Here is a 13,131-nt window from a genome sequence, read left to right as displayed (position 1 = left end):
CTCCAGAATTTGGAAACTATTTGTGAATATTCTCAATTTATGGCAGTATAGCTAATTGCATAAGTGCAATAAGAATCTGTTTTCTTTTGTAACAGGCCACAGTTGGAGAAATTGGTTATTTTACCAAGGCTTTGACTGGAATGGCATGCTTTTTTTTAAAGAATCAAAGTTGACTTATATAGCCAATTAAAGCCCGTTGGGGAATCTGGCCTTATACCCCGTCCACACAGAGTCTCTGTACAAGGTTCCTGACCTGTGGTAAGTAAAGAATGTCACTTTCAAACAGGCTCAGGAACCCCAAGCTATCTTGGGACCTCAAGAGGAGACAAATTTGCCCAACTCATAGGTATTTGAGGGTACAAACCCATGGCTGGGCTCGGCTTTTAAAAAGTCTTATCTGAGATTCTTCATGGAACAGAGTTCTATCAAAGCCAATTTAAAAAGTCTAAGTGAAAAATAATTATTCTTGCTGCACTTTATGCAAATAATCGGGCCAAGTACAGTAAGACTAAAGTTTATTTTGTAAACAAATCAGTTGTATCATGATTTGTTTTTAATAAAAATGGGGACTGGAGAGAGAAAAATTATGCTTCAAAAGAAAAACTATAGTACACTGTTGTTAGCTGTTCTTGAGGTTTTTTCTGCAGTTTAGACTAAATTCTAAAGTCTTTGTGGGTTAGAAGTCCCCAAACTAGTGCTTCCAAATCTTTGCTTTTAAAATTGGGAATTGTACTCCTCATCCTAGGACTCGTTATTTACCTTATAGTGGGCTGTTTCACTTAAACACTGTAGTAAAACTACAGAGTACTAATGTTTGTGCCATGCAAGCCATGAACGCCTAGCCAGGCCTGCATGAGTACACTCAGACAGTTGCAAACCAGTTCCACTCTTCTCACCTTCGGGTTCACTCCCATTCCCATAATGTGCCCTGTCAGCAGGAAGAAGCCAGAGCAATTGATAGCCTTTTCCCATCTTCACAGCCTACACCTTAAGATTAAGGTGTTATAAAACCCAAAGGGAAGGACTGAAACCACGTTTGCAAAATTATGACTGAGACGGTGAAAGAGATCTAACTTAACTGACTCCATCTTGCTTCTAACCTCCAAGCTGTCCTTGTTCATTCCTGGGCGGAGGCTAAACTAACTTTGGGAGAAACTTAGTTTAGAGTTTAAACAAAGACAGTGACACTCCTTTTCCCAAAGAAGACCTCCATCTTGCCTGGAGACTAGATTGCCTTTGTAGGACTAACATTAGCCACAAGATTGGAAATTATGGTTTAGAAGTCATGCAGCTGGAGGCTACAAGATTCTGACCCTCCCTATACTGTTCCTAAGATCAGTGTTGAGACACCTTGCACTTGATGGATCAGCTGGCACCACCCAGATCAATAAACTGGCTCATCTGATCTTGTGGCCCCCACCCAGGAACTGACTCAGTGCAAGAAGACAGCTCTGAGTCCCTATGATTTCTTTTTTTTTTTTTTTCTTGAGACAAAGTCTCGCTCTGTCGCCCAGGCTGGAGTGCAATGGTGCAATCACGGCTCACTGCAAGCTCTGCCTCCCGGGTTCACACTATTCTCCTGCCTCAGCCTCCCAAGTAGCTAGGACTACAGGTGCCCGCCACCATGCCCGGCTGATTTTTTGTATTTTTAGTAAAGACGGGGTTTCACCATGTTGGCCAGGATGGTCTCGATCTCCTGACCTCATGATCCCCCCACCTCGGCCTCCCAAAGTGCTGGGATTACAGGCGTGAGCCACCTTGCCCGGCCCTGAGTCCCTATGGTTTCATCTCTGACCAATCAGCACTCCTGGCTCACTGGCTTCCCCCGACCTACCACATTATCCTTAAAAACTCTGCTCCCCGAATGCTGGGGAAGACTGATTTGAGTAATAATAAAACTCCAGTCTCCCCCTCTGCCCCCCAACCACACACAAAAAAGAATGCCATGTGAAGACAGAAAGCTGGAGTGATGCATCTATGAGCCAAGAAATGCCAAAGAATGCTGGCCAACCACCAGAAGCTAGGAAGAGGCAAGGAGGGACTCCCCTACAGGTTTCAGAGGGAGCATGACACCTTGCTTTTAGACTTCTAGCCTCCAGAACTGTGAGACAATAAATTTCTGTTGTTCTAAGTCACCTGGTTTGTGGCATTTTGTTACAGCAGCCCAGGAAACTAATAGAGAGATCTGACCAAGGGCAAGGGCAAGGGCTATGTTGCATTAGCTGGGCAGCTACTATTCCCTCTCCCCCACCCTAAGGTATGGAAAAATGCCCAGAGGACGTGAGGGCTTGCCATCACTATATGGTATGCAGGCAGAAGCAAAGGAAGTGTGGGAGGGCACCTTCCCAACGGAAGGTAAAACTGCCATTCAGGCAAATTAGAACACATTCAAACCACAGAGGATAATTCATCTTCTCCTCATTCAGACCTAGAGCTCAGAGTGATAAGTTCCATTTCATTATCATTACTAATTTTTATTTATTTCTTTTTGAGACAGAGTCTTGCTCTGTCGCCTAGGCTGGAGTGCAGTGGCGCAATCTCAGCTCACTGCAACCTCTGTCTCCCAGGTTAGATTCTCCTGCCTCAGCCTCCTGAGTAGCTGGAACTACAGGTATGTGCCACCACGCACAGCTAATTTTTGTAATTTTAGTAGAGATGGGGTTTCACTGTGTTGGCCAGGCTGGTCTTGAATTCCTGACCTCAGGTGATCCATCTGCCTCGGCCTTCCAAAGTGTTGGGATTAAAGGTATGAGCCACTGCTCCCGGCCATTACTAAATATTTTTAAAGTAACTTTTCCCCCAATTGAAAAAATAATTTTCCTATTATGGAAAATTTGGAAAACTCAGAAAAGTAAACACAAAACAAAATGACCTATAATCTCAACCCAAAATTACTATGAACATTTAGTGGAATACCTTTTCAGTCTTGTTCCTATGCGGCTATGTACTTTTGTGTTTTAGTAGGACAGGCAATACTGGGGCCAGCTTCAATTTCTTTGTTAATTATACTTTAGCTGGCAAACTTGAGAACATAATTCTCATTTGCCAAATTGTTTCTCAATTATGAAAGATAATCTGAATTCTTTTTTTTTTCTTTATTTATTTATTTTTCAAATGAGACAGGGTCTTGCTCTGCTGCCCAGGCTGGTCTTGAACTCCCAGGCTCAAGTGATCCTCCTGCCTCGGCCTCCTAAAATGCTGGGATTACAGGTGTGAGCCAATGTGCCCGGCCACATTCTGAGTTTTGAACCACTCTTTCATCAACAAGCTTTTGGACTGGACTCTGCCACGTGACAGTCAGTAGGAACTGACTCCGTGCTTTACACCACGCGCAGTCCCAGTGCTTCATCACTCACCGGAGTTTTGATGTAGGTGTGGGGATCAGGGAACTCAGGAAAATGGCTGGGGATGTGCGGCGGGTGGGGTCGGTTCTGCCCTGCAGTGAGGGCCTTGGGGGTCACTGGCTGATTGGTCACCGGAGCTGCAACAGAGTCACAACTGATTACCCCTCCACCCAAGACCCTGATTTCTACAGATTATGGTCTCTCCCCAAAGCCTCCTTTTCTCAAAAAAATGCCAGACCTCAATTTTCTAAACAAGTTGCATTTTGTATTTCAATCGATAAAAGGTCTTTGATGGCTTACAATGCCCAGCCCTGCTGGCTAATCTTGGTTGACGTTCCCTTTGACAACAATCTGCCCACAAGCCTCTTAGGTAGAGGTGGGTGGCTGTGGCCACAGTAACTACGTAAAACAGCATGCTGAGGAGCTACGCAGGTTACATGGGCTGCTGGTTCTCTTTTCAGAGACCTTGGATAACAAAAAGGAACAATGAGCTGGGGACATTAAGTGTGAGCTTAATCATAACAAGAGGGGATTGAAAATGGCACCTTCCACTGCTATGTTGAGAGGGAGTTTTTAAAAAAATGCCAACAAGAAAAAAGTGACTTTAAAGAAGAAATCCAGGCCGGGTGCGGTGGCTCACGCCTGTAATCCCAGCACTCTGAGAGGCCGAGGCAGGCGGATCACTCGAGGTCAGGAGTTCGAGACCAGCTTGGCCAACATGGTAAAACCCTGTCTCTACTAAAAATATAAAAGTTAGCTGGGTGTGGTGGCGAGCGCCTGTAATCCCAGCTACTTGGGAGGCTGAAGCAGGAGAATAGCTTGAACCTCGGAGGCAGAGGTTGCAGTAGTCAGCCGAGATTGTGCCACTGCACTCCAGCCTGGGCAACAGAGCGAGACTCCATCTCAAAAAAAGAAAGAAAAGAAAAAAATCCAGTTAACTCTCTCCAGGTCCTACAAGCCCAAACTGGTTACTCTCTACTCAGCTTATGGCACCCAGGTTTACTTAAAGTAGAGGTCATCAAAGTTTGTGTAAAGGGCCATATAATAAATACTTTAGGTTTTGCATGTGGTACAGTCTCTACCACAACTAAACTATGCCATTATAGCATGAAAACAACCACAGATAATAAGTAAATATGGCTGCATTCCGATAAGACTTTATTTACAAAAACAGGAGGCAGGCTGCATTTGGCCCATAGGCCACAATTTACCAACCCTTAATCTAAGAAGAACAAAAACTTTCATTTTTCCAAGCAGCATCATTTGCCCTTCTGGGGCTAGAACACAAGAAACACAGCAATATCTCAAAGATGGTTTACCTTTTGGTGACTGAATTTCACATGCTAATCAGACTAGCCCAAATAAAGATTATATTGTAGGTAGCCCCAAACATTGGAAGAGAGCCCACAACAAGGAAGTAGCTACTAATCCAATCCCTACCATATTCAATTACTTCATTCCACAAGCATTAATTGAAAAATTGCTAAGTACCTCAGTTCAAAGTCACTTACGAGCAGTGATGACCATCCTCTGAGACCGTTTTGCATAAGCAGGGAGAGTGTCCACATTGAAACCTAAGAGACAGGAAAACAAAAATCACTGCCCAGACCACTGGATATTGAATACAGAAAGAATAGTAGTAGTATGGACAAATGGCTTAAACTCTCAACTCAATGACCTTGCAGCCACGCAAAAGAAGCTCTGGCAGAATTCCCTAACAGGGAATTATGAGGCCTCTTAGATGTGTTCAGAGGAATCTCTCTTGATAACTCTCTCAAGCTCAAAGCAATTCAAGAGAACCATGAGGGAAACCAAGAACACTTAGCAGACATGCCTGATTCCTAGGGACTCCTCTCCCAGTTGCATCGAAGAACTGGAAACTGAAGGTATACTCACCCATCTCAACAAGTGTGACCACGATATCGGACAGTGTGGGCTGGGTCCTGGCTGTGTGCTCACAGTAAGACTTGGCACTTCTCCCAATTTCTGAAATGTCTAAGAGGGGATTAAAGGCATAAAACTTATTCTCAGTTCCTCAGAAAGTTAAACATAGAATTACCAGATGAGCCAACAATTCCACTCCTAGGTATATACATAAATGAACTGAAAGCAGGGATTCGAAAAGCTACTAGTACACCAATGTTCACAGCAGCATGATTCACAGCAGCCAAAAGGTAGAAACAACAGGTGAATGAACAAACAAAATGTGCTGTATACATACAATGGAATATTATTCAGCCTTTAAAAGGAAGGAAATTCTGGTAATGTTATAGCATAGATGAACTTTGAAAACATTATGCTAGACCAGGTGTGGTGGCGCAGGCCTGTAATCCCAGCACTTTGGGAGGCCAAGGCCAGTGGATCACCTGAGGTCAGGAGTTTGAGACCAACCTGACCAACATGGCGAAACCCCTTCTCTACTAAAAATACAAAAATTAGCCAGGCCTGGTGGTAGGCGCCTGTAATCCTAGCCACTTGGGAGGCTGAGAAATAGCTTGAACCTGGAAGGAGGAGGTTGCAGTGAGCAGAGATTGTGCCATTGCACTCCAGCCTGGGCGACAGAGTGAGAACTCCTTCTCAAAAAAAAAAAAAAAGAAAAGAAAAAGAAAACATTATGCTAAGGCCAGGTGTGGTGGCTCACGCCTGTAATCCTAGCACTTGGGAGGCTGAGGCAGGTGGATCACTTGAGGTCAGGAGTTCAAGACTAGCCTGGCCAACATGGCAAAACCCCAACTCTACCACAAATATAAAAAATTAGCCAGGTGAGGTGGCACACACCTGTAATCCCAGCTACTCAGGAGGCTGAAAATCGCTTGAACCTGGGAGGTGGAGGTGGTTGCAGTGAGCCGAGATGGCACCACTGCACTCCAGCCTGGGAGACACAGCGAGACTCCATCTCAGAAAAAAAGAAAAGAAAAAAGAAAACATTATGCTAAGTGAAATAAGGTAGACATAAAAAGACAAATAAAGATTCTACTTATATGAGGTATCTAGAGATGGAAAGTAGATTAGAAGTTACCAGGGGATGGAGGGGGAGGGAGAATGGGGAGTTATTGTTTATGGGTACAGAGTTTCTGTTTAGAATGATGAAAAAGTTCTGGAAATAATGTAAATGGCTGCACAACATTGTGAATGTACTTAATACCACTGAATTGTACACTTAAAAATGGTTAAAATGATAAATTTTTTTATGAATATCTCACTACCACACACACAAAAAGGTCTTATTCTCTGATGGGCAATTTTTCTTTCTTCTGCCTGAAGCTGAACCTCTATTTAAGAGTCACGTTAAAGTCTTTTGGGGAAAGGGGAAAGGTTTCTAAGATGGAGTTTTTGAAGCTCGGCTCTGTGAATGAGCTTCCAAGGTGGACAGGAGGTTTCATGAATACTCTGAAGCTGTGCTGAATTTTAAACACAAAAAAAGCATTTTTTGGGGAATGGGTCCACAGATTTTATCAAATGTACAAAGGGGTCTCAAAAGGTAAAGAACTCCTACTTTAGGGGCCCAGTGGCTCAGAAGATAAAAGCAAGTGGTACTTGACAGGGAAGGGTGTCTAACAAGAGACCTACCACCTACCACCAACCCCCCTGCTATACTGAGCAAGTCACTAATACCAGCCTCTAGACATGACTTTTAAACTCTAAATTCCAAGATTGTTCCAAGAACTGCATTCTTATCTCTTGGGAACTATTAATTCATTCCTTTAGGACAAAGTTCAAAAAGTAGTAGCCTGGGAATCTGTGGTAGGCCCCAAAATCTTTTCTAAAGTCCACAGGTCAAAACTATTTTCATAATAAAATTAAGTTGTTATTTGACTTTTTCACTCTCATTCTCTCAGGTAGTTTTCCTGAGTCTATGTGACTTTTGATGACAACATGGGTCTGATGAATAACAGAATATGTGATTGTACATTCTTATTTTCAAAATTTCTTCTTCTTTTTTTTTCTTTTTTTTTTTTTGAGACGGAGTTTCGCTCTTGTTGCCCAGGCTGGAGTACAATGGTGTGATCTTGGCTCAATGCAATCTCTGCCACCTGGGTTCAAGCGATTCTCCTGCCTCAGCCTCCCGAGTAGCTGTAATTACAGGCGCCCGCCACCACATCCAGCTAATTTTTTGCATTTTTAGTAGAGACAGGGTTTCAGTATGTTGGCAAGGTTGGTCTTGAAACTCCTGACCTCAGGCGATATACCCGCCTCGGCCTCCCAAAGTGCTGGGATTACAGGCGTGAGCCACCACACCTAGACCCAAAATTTGTTTTTTCTAACGTGGCAAATACACATATACAAAAGCTACTTGGGGTCCTCAATGTTTATTAATATAAAGGGATTCTGAGAGCTGGGTGTGGTGGCACATGCCTGTAGTCCCAGCTATGTGGGAGGCTTGGGTCCAGAAGTTTGAGGCCAGCCTGGGCAACACAGCAAGACCCCATCTCTAATTAATAAGAATAAATAAATATAGGAGTTCTGAAGCCACAATGATTGAGATCACTGCTTTAGGAAAACATTTGGTATTTAAAAGTGCCAAATATCAGCTGCAGAGAGCCACCTTGCCCAAGATCACCCTTCCTGGGGTAGCCCACATCTACTGTTTGATCAAGACCTGAGTATAAAGGCAGGGCCTTTTCAGCTTGATGGGCAATAATGCTCCAGGGGTCCTGGCTAAGTTGTCCACTTCTTTATTGGGCCTGCATTGCACCCCACATCTCCCTCTGCCCAAACCTTTCTCCTACTTCCTTTCATAGTTGTTGATCCCTAAGAAACACCGTAAATACTTCCATCCCTCATCCCATCCCATGCCCCAAAAGTTCAAAACAGGGAAATATGTTGTACATGCAGAAAAGCCTCTGTAAGACCACACCCGGGCTTCTAAATCTCAACACATTTCCTTTTAAAAGTAGCTTTTCAGCTGGGTGTAGTGGCTCATGCCTGTAATCCCAGCACTTTGAGAGGCCAAGGTGGGTGGATCACCTGAGGTCAGGAGTTCAAGACCAGCCTGGCCAACATGGTGAAACCCTGTCTCTACTAAAAATACAAAAATTAGCCAGGCGTGGTGGTGCACGCCTATGATCCCAGCTACTTGGGAGGCTGTGGCAGGAGAATTGCTTGAACCTGGGAGGCGGAGGCTGCAGTGAGCTGAGATTGTGCCACTGCACCCCAGCCTGGGCAACACAGTGAGACTCTGTCTCAAAAAAAAAAAGGGGGGGGGGGCTTTTCCCCTTCATTCTTTGTATCACACAATCTAGCATTTCATTACATAATGTGATGATATCTATTGCATGGGGAATTAGTCCTGACTCCCCAACAAAAGTCCTTAAGGGCACCCATAACTCACCAAGAGCTTAAAATCTCCCCAGCACTGAATGTTTTATATATACATCTCACTTACACTCACAAATCCATGAGGTAGAAACTGTTATCCCATTTCAGAAATGAGGAAATTGAGGTTCAGGAGATTCAGTGGCTTGCCCAAGCTATTAAGTGACAGAGTGATGATGTACACCAAGTCTATCTGATTCTAAAGCCTGTAAGTCACTTCATTATGCTCTTTTCTGTTTTTGTTGTTGTTGTTGGAGATGGAGCCTCACAGGCTGGAGTGCAGTGGTGCGATCTCAGTTCACTGTAACCTCTGCCTCCCAGATTCAAGCGATTCTCCTGCCTCAGTCTCCCGAGTGGCTGGGATTATAGACACCTGCCACCACGCCCAGCTAATTTTTTTGTGTGTTTTTTAGTAGAGACGGGGTTTCGCCACGTTGGCCAGGCTGGTCTTGAACTCCTGACTTCAGGTGATCCACCCGCCTCAGCCTCCTAAAGTACTGGGATTACAGGCGTGAGCCACCACGCTCGGCCCATTGTGCTGTTTTCTTTTCTCAACTTTTTACATTAAAAAAAATTTTTTTTCTCCCCTCTTAAGAAAAAAGTTTGTTTCTTAAATCCTCTCAAACACTATCACAAAGCAGGGCACAGAACTGATGTTGGGGTTGACTCCAAGGCCAAGTGTTTCCATGTACTCACAGCTCTGCAGCATCTCTGTCAGCGTTTCCACGGATGCTTTCTCGGCACTCTCAAACCCTGCCTCTGTCAGCAAGGAGCTCACAACCACCTGCAGGGTTCTCCTCCGGGCCAGATGATAGTTATCGGCAGGGTTAGTGGACTGTTTACTTCCCGATCTCTGTGAATCAGCAGAGAGATTTTCATCCACAGGAGAAGGATGCAATCACATAGTTCATACGTGGTCAACGGCAAGCAAAGTTATTTTACTAAATAATTTTATTTTAAAAATCAGTGCTTAATGTTTAGATTTACAGATCTTGGCCAACTGAGTAAAAATTGAGCACCCAAGGTGCTTTAAATACAGAGACCACTTCTCCGCTTACCTAAAACGTACAGTCCCAATGAGATAAAATAGCAGGTCTTTTACTTTCTACTTTAGCAGATTATTAGAATACATAGCTGAAGAAACACGCATGATGGGATTAAGACGTGTCCCGCAGAAAAAACAGGATCCCTCTCTTGTGCCTCCCATCTTCACACCATTTCATTGAAAGGGAAAATGAAAACAGTAACAAGAGGTGACCGCGAGGAGAGGAGGGCAAAAGATAAAAGCACAAAAAAGTAAGAAAGCTAAATATTTTGAAACGGGAATGCCTTTCAACTTTGGCCGGCCAATAAGAAGGCGAAAACGGCATCTTCAGACCAATCGGGGGTGTTCCGGGCTCCCAACCCCCAACAGCGAACGAGCCAATCAAGACACAGGTCCGCCAACTCCGGAGGCCGCAGCCAAGTCCCAAGGAGGGGGCGCCTACGGCCTGAAAACACCCTCCGCCAGTCGGAGCTCATGATGGGGCTGAATTTCTGGGCATTATCTTGTTGCTCAGTCGAGGGGAAAGTTGCAGGATACCCAAACTCTCTCGGCTCCGAGCCCGCGCTTCCTGCCCTTACCGTTCCGGAGCCACCGGCCCCAGCTGTGGCCGCCGCGTCGGCCATCTTGTTCTGGCGTAGTGTGCGCGAGCGCGGGGCGCGATGGGACTTGTAGTCGCGGGGCGGGGCGGGGCGGGGCGGCGTGCGCCCCTTGGTTTTCCGAAGCCCAGTCGGTTGGGGGACGCCTCCGGTGACCCCGGCTCACGTGACTTTTTTTTTTTTTTTTTGGATACAGAGTCTTGCTCCGTTTCACAGGCTAGAGTGCAATGGCGCGATCTCGGTTCACTGCAACCTCCACCTCCCAGGCTCAAGCGATCCTCCCGCCTCAGCCTCCGGAGTAGCTGGGATTACAGGCGGGCACCACCACGCCCCGCTAGTTTTTGTATTTTTAGTAGAGACCGAGTTTCGCCATGTTGGCCAGGCTGGTCTCGAACACCTAAGCTCAAGCAGTCCGCGGCCTCGGCCTCACAAGGTGCTGGGATTACAGGCGTGAGCTACCGCGCCAGCCTCACGTGACCTTTTGAGAGTGAAGTGTTCTGGGGCCTTCAGTGGCTTGGTTGTGGGCCAGGAAAACGCGCCCGGTTTCACTGAGTTAAAAGAAACCTATTTTAATATGAAAATCGGTTCTTATAAAGAGCATACCAGGAGATCATCTACACTCGCAGGGTTTTCCAAACTTGTCTTATTATTAGTAACACCTGGCTGGGCCCAGCCCAATCCCAGTGACTTCACTCTCTGGAAGAGGGGCTTGGGAATCTTTCTCATTAAGGAGCTCCCCAGATGATTCTTCTGAGCGAGTAATGTTGGGAAACCCTGGAGCATCCAGCCTGGTGATTTTGTGCTGAGGGCCGCCCCGCCTGTCAATGGCCCACTTGGAAGTAGAGCCTGGACCACCTAGTCCAAGTCTATCGCTGCATCCTGCTGCCTTCGCGCCCTCGACCCGCAAGTATTTGCGAGGCAAGTCTAGGGGGCGGGAGACTTGTCCCTTGCCGCCTCACTCCCAGGGCGTGGGGTGCCCGCGGCTACCAGTGGTTTTCTCCCTAGCCTGTCAGCCCCTCTAGCTGCGCCGTGTTCGTCCCCATTTGCAGGTGCCTGGCAGGACGCAGATTCTGGGCTTGGATCCTAACACTAGCCAGCTATGGTACTTCGGGCACTTGACCTTAATCCTCAGTGTGTCTCAGTTTCCTCTTCTGTAAAGCTGGGGGAAAGATGAGATGATACACAGAAAGAGTCTGTCACAGTGCCTGACGTGTAGTAAGAGTCAAGAAATCGGCCGGGCGCGGTGGCTCTCGCCTGTAATCCCAGCACTTTGAGAGGCCGAGGCGGGTGGATCACCTCAGGTCAGGAGTTCGAGACCAGCCTGACCAACATGGTGAAACCCCGTGTCTACTAAAAATACACAAAATTAGCCGGGCGTGGCGGCGTGCGCCTGTAGTCCTAGCTACTCGGGAGGCTGAGGCAGGAGAATAGCTTGAATCCGGGAGGCGGAGGTTGCAGTGAGCCGAGATCGCGCCACTGCACTCCAGCCTGGGCGACAGAGGGAGACTCCATCTCAAAAAAAAGAAAAAGAAAAAGAAGTCGCTCCTCATGATGTTGTTTACTTCCTGGATAGCACGTGGAGGAGTTGCCAACGCCGGGAGGCAGCGGTCCGGGAACCCGTGCTGCCCCGGCCCCGCCGCCCACACCTGAGCCTCCGTGGCGCCCCGCCCCCGCACCTATGCCGCGTGGGGCGGGGGCTGCGGGCGGGGGTGCGCGGCGCCGGATGAGCCTCCTGGCCTCGCCGAGGGTGTACAGGGGGTGGGAGAGTCAGGCCGGGGACCGAAACTTGGCTGAGCAGAGCACCAGCCCCTTTGTCTCCTCCGCCCCCTCTTCCCCACTTCCTGCCCAGCTCTGGATCGGCGGCGCGGCGCGGACTTTGTAAACACTTCGCCACTGCAGGGGTGGAGACTGGCTCTGTTCGGATGCCGGCCGGGGGGGAGAGGTGCAATCCTCTCCTCGCGGCTGGTGGTTGCGACCACCCCCACTCCCCAAAGGCAGGCTCCGGAGGCGGCGGGACAGAGCGCCTGCGACCCCAGTCGGTGCTCCGGGGAGGTCACCTGACGAGGAGGTAGGCTTGGGTGCTGGAGAAACCGGGGTAGATGGGATGTCAGCTCAGGCTGGAGACCATGCGTTGGGGATCGGTGCTGGGTGGGTCAATGGGGTCGCCGCATCCTCATCACTTCCTAGTTGGCACCGAAAGCTTGGCTCACTTTCCCACTGAGTGAGGTGTTCTGCACGGAATTGAAGGGCAGAGAAACCCCCAAAGGCCCTGAGCCCTCTGTATGTACACACATCGGCACAACCCCCTCCAGCTGATCTGGAAGCCCCGTGGCTTTACCGGGCTGTTGGTCTTCTCATGCCTCAAAGATGGGGTGGAAGGCCAGTAGGAGGGCAGACCAGTGTGGATGGGGAGTCTGTGAGTGCTCTGGCAAGTGCACCGGGATGAAACTGGAGGGAGGGACCCCTCAGTGGTGTCTGATTGATACATAGATGATGATCTTAGCTTCTTCTGTGTCTCTTGAAGTGCCAACAAGAGGAATAACTGAATAAATTGGTTGCTGTTACTAAGGGAGCATTAAGTTATTCATTTGCATTGATTGAACACCTACTATGTGCCTGGCATTATATGGAATGCTGAGGGTGCAATGATGTTATTCATCCACAGCTAATATGGATCACAAAACAATAGACATAGATGCCAAGTACACTGGCTGGGGTGGCTGGGAAGGCTTCAGAGAGAAAAGGACATTTGAGTTGGGTTCAGAAGGATGAAAAGCATAGAAGTCTTTGGGGGCACTTATTCCACAGAACTGGATTGAACCCCAGCTGT

At 47.3% G+C, this 13,131-nt stretch overlaps 2 protein-coding genes across 19 annotated transcripts in view, besides 6 other annotated features; one reads left to right on the top strand and one right to left on the bottom strand.

Moving 5' to 3' along the window:
• The window catches only part of TAF8 (TATA-box binding protein associated factor 8), a 36,939-nt gene extending 26,593 nt beyond the window's left edge, over positions 1–10,346 (bottom strand). For 9 of the 10 annotated variants that reach the window (NM_001438580.1, NM_001410907.1, NM_001438582.1 and 6 more), the window contains exons 1-5: positions 10,284–10,346; positions 9,357–9,513; positions 5,241–5,339; positions 4,856–4,918; positions 3,357–3,481 (exon numbers count right to left, since the gene is read on the bottom strand). In NM_001438580.1, coding sequence (NP_001425509.1) covers positions 3,357–3,481; positions 4,856–4,918; positions 5,241–5,339; positions 9,357–9,513; positions 10,284–10,328 — 489 coding nt within the window. In that variant the 5' untranslated portion in view covers positions 10,329–10,346. Of the gene's footprint in view, positions 1–3,356; positions 3,482–4,855; positions 4,919–5,240; positions 5,340–9,356; positions 9,514–9,718 lie in introns of all 10 variants that reach the window. The other variant, XM_047418177.1, reaches the window with a different exon arrangement.
• Positions 9,620–10,171: an enhancer, noted in NCBI's record as "H3K27ac hESC enhancer chr6:42018437-42018988 (GRCh37/hg19 assembly coordinates)". NCBI's record gives its function as "activates a minimal SCP1, AML or CMV promoter by ChIP-STARR-seq in primed H9 embryonic stem cells {active_cell/tissue: H9 hESC(primed)}" and the evidence as "EXISTENCE:reporter gene assay evidence [ECO:0000049][PMID:30033119]".
• Positions 9,620–10,723: a biological region, named in NCBI's record as "H3K27ac hESC enhancers GRCh37_chr6:42017885-42018436 and GRCh37_chr6:42018437-42018988".
• Positions 9,841–10,390: an enhancer, noted in NCBI's record as "active region_24541". NCBI's record gives its function as "activates an Ori minimal core promoter by ATAC-STARR-seq in GM12878 lymphoblastoid cells {active_cell/tissue: GM12878}" and the evidence as "EXISTENCE:reporter gene assay evidence [ECO:0000049][PMID:35858748]".
• Positions 10,172–10,723: an enhancer, noted in NCBI's record as "H3K27ac hESC enhancer chr6:42017885-42018436 (GRCh37/hg19 assembly coordinates)". NCBI's record gives its function as "activates a minimal SCP1, AML or CMV promoter by ChIP-STARR-seq in primed H9 embryonic stem cells {active_cell/tissue: H9 hESC(primed)}" and the evidence as "EXISTENCE:reporter gene assay evidence [ECO:0000049][PMID:30033119]".
• CCND3 (cyclin D3) overlaps positions 10,835–13,131 on the top strand; it is a 115,103-nt gene continuing 112,806 nt past the window's right edge. For 6 of the 9 annotated variants that reach the window (NR_187571.1, NM_001424058.1, NM_001136126.3 and 3 more), the window contains exon 1: positions 12,182–12,369. The gene's annotated coding sequence lies outside the window, so the exon portion shown is untranslated. Of the gene's footprint in view, positions 11,220–11,975; positions 12,370–13,131 lie in introns of those variants that run through there. The other 3 variants (NM_001424057.1, NM_001424053.1, NM_001136017.3) reach the window with 2 other exon arrangements.
• Positions 11,860–12,109: a silencer, noted in NCBI's record as "silent region_17197". NCBI's record gives its function as "represses an Ori minimal core promoter by ATAC-STARR-seq in GM12878 lymphoblastoid cells {active_cell/tissue: GM12878}" and the evidence as "EXISTENCE:reporter gene assay evidence [ECO:0000049][PMID:35858748]".
• Positions 12,480–12,529: an enhancer, noted in NCBI's record as "active region_24540". NCBI's record gives its function as "activates an Ori minimal core promoter by ATAC-STARR-seq in GM12878 lymphoblastoid cells {active_cell/tissue: GM12878}" and the evidence as "EXISTENCE:reporter gene assay evidence [ECO:0000049][PMID:35858748]".

Source organism: Homo sapiens, chromosome 6 (genome assembly GCF_000001405.40).
Source record: "Homo sapiens chromosome 6, GRCh38.p14 Primary Assembly".
NCBI classification, from domain to species: Eukaryota; Metazoa; Chordata; class Mammalia; order Primates; family Hominidae; genus Homo; species Homo sapiens.
The sequence above is the reverse complement of the archived record's forward strand: the minus strand, read 5'-3'. Positions and strand labels throughout refer to the sequence as shown.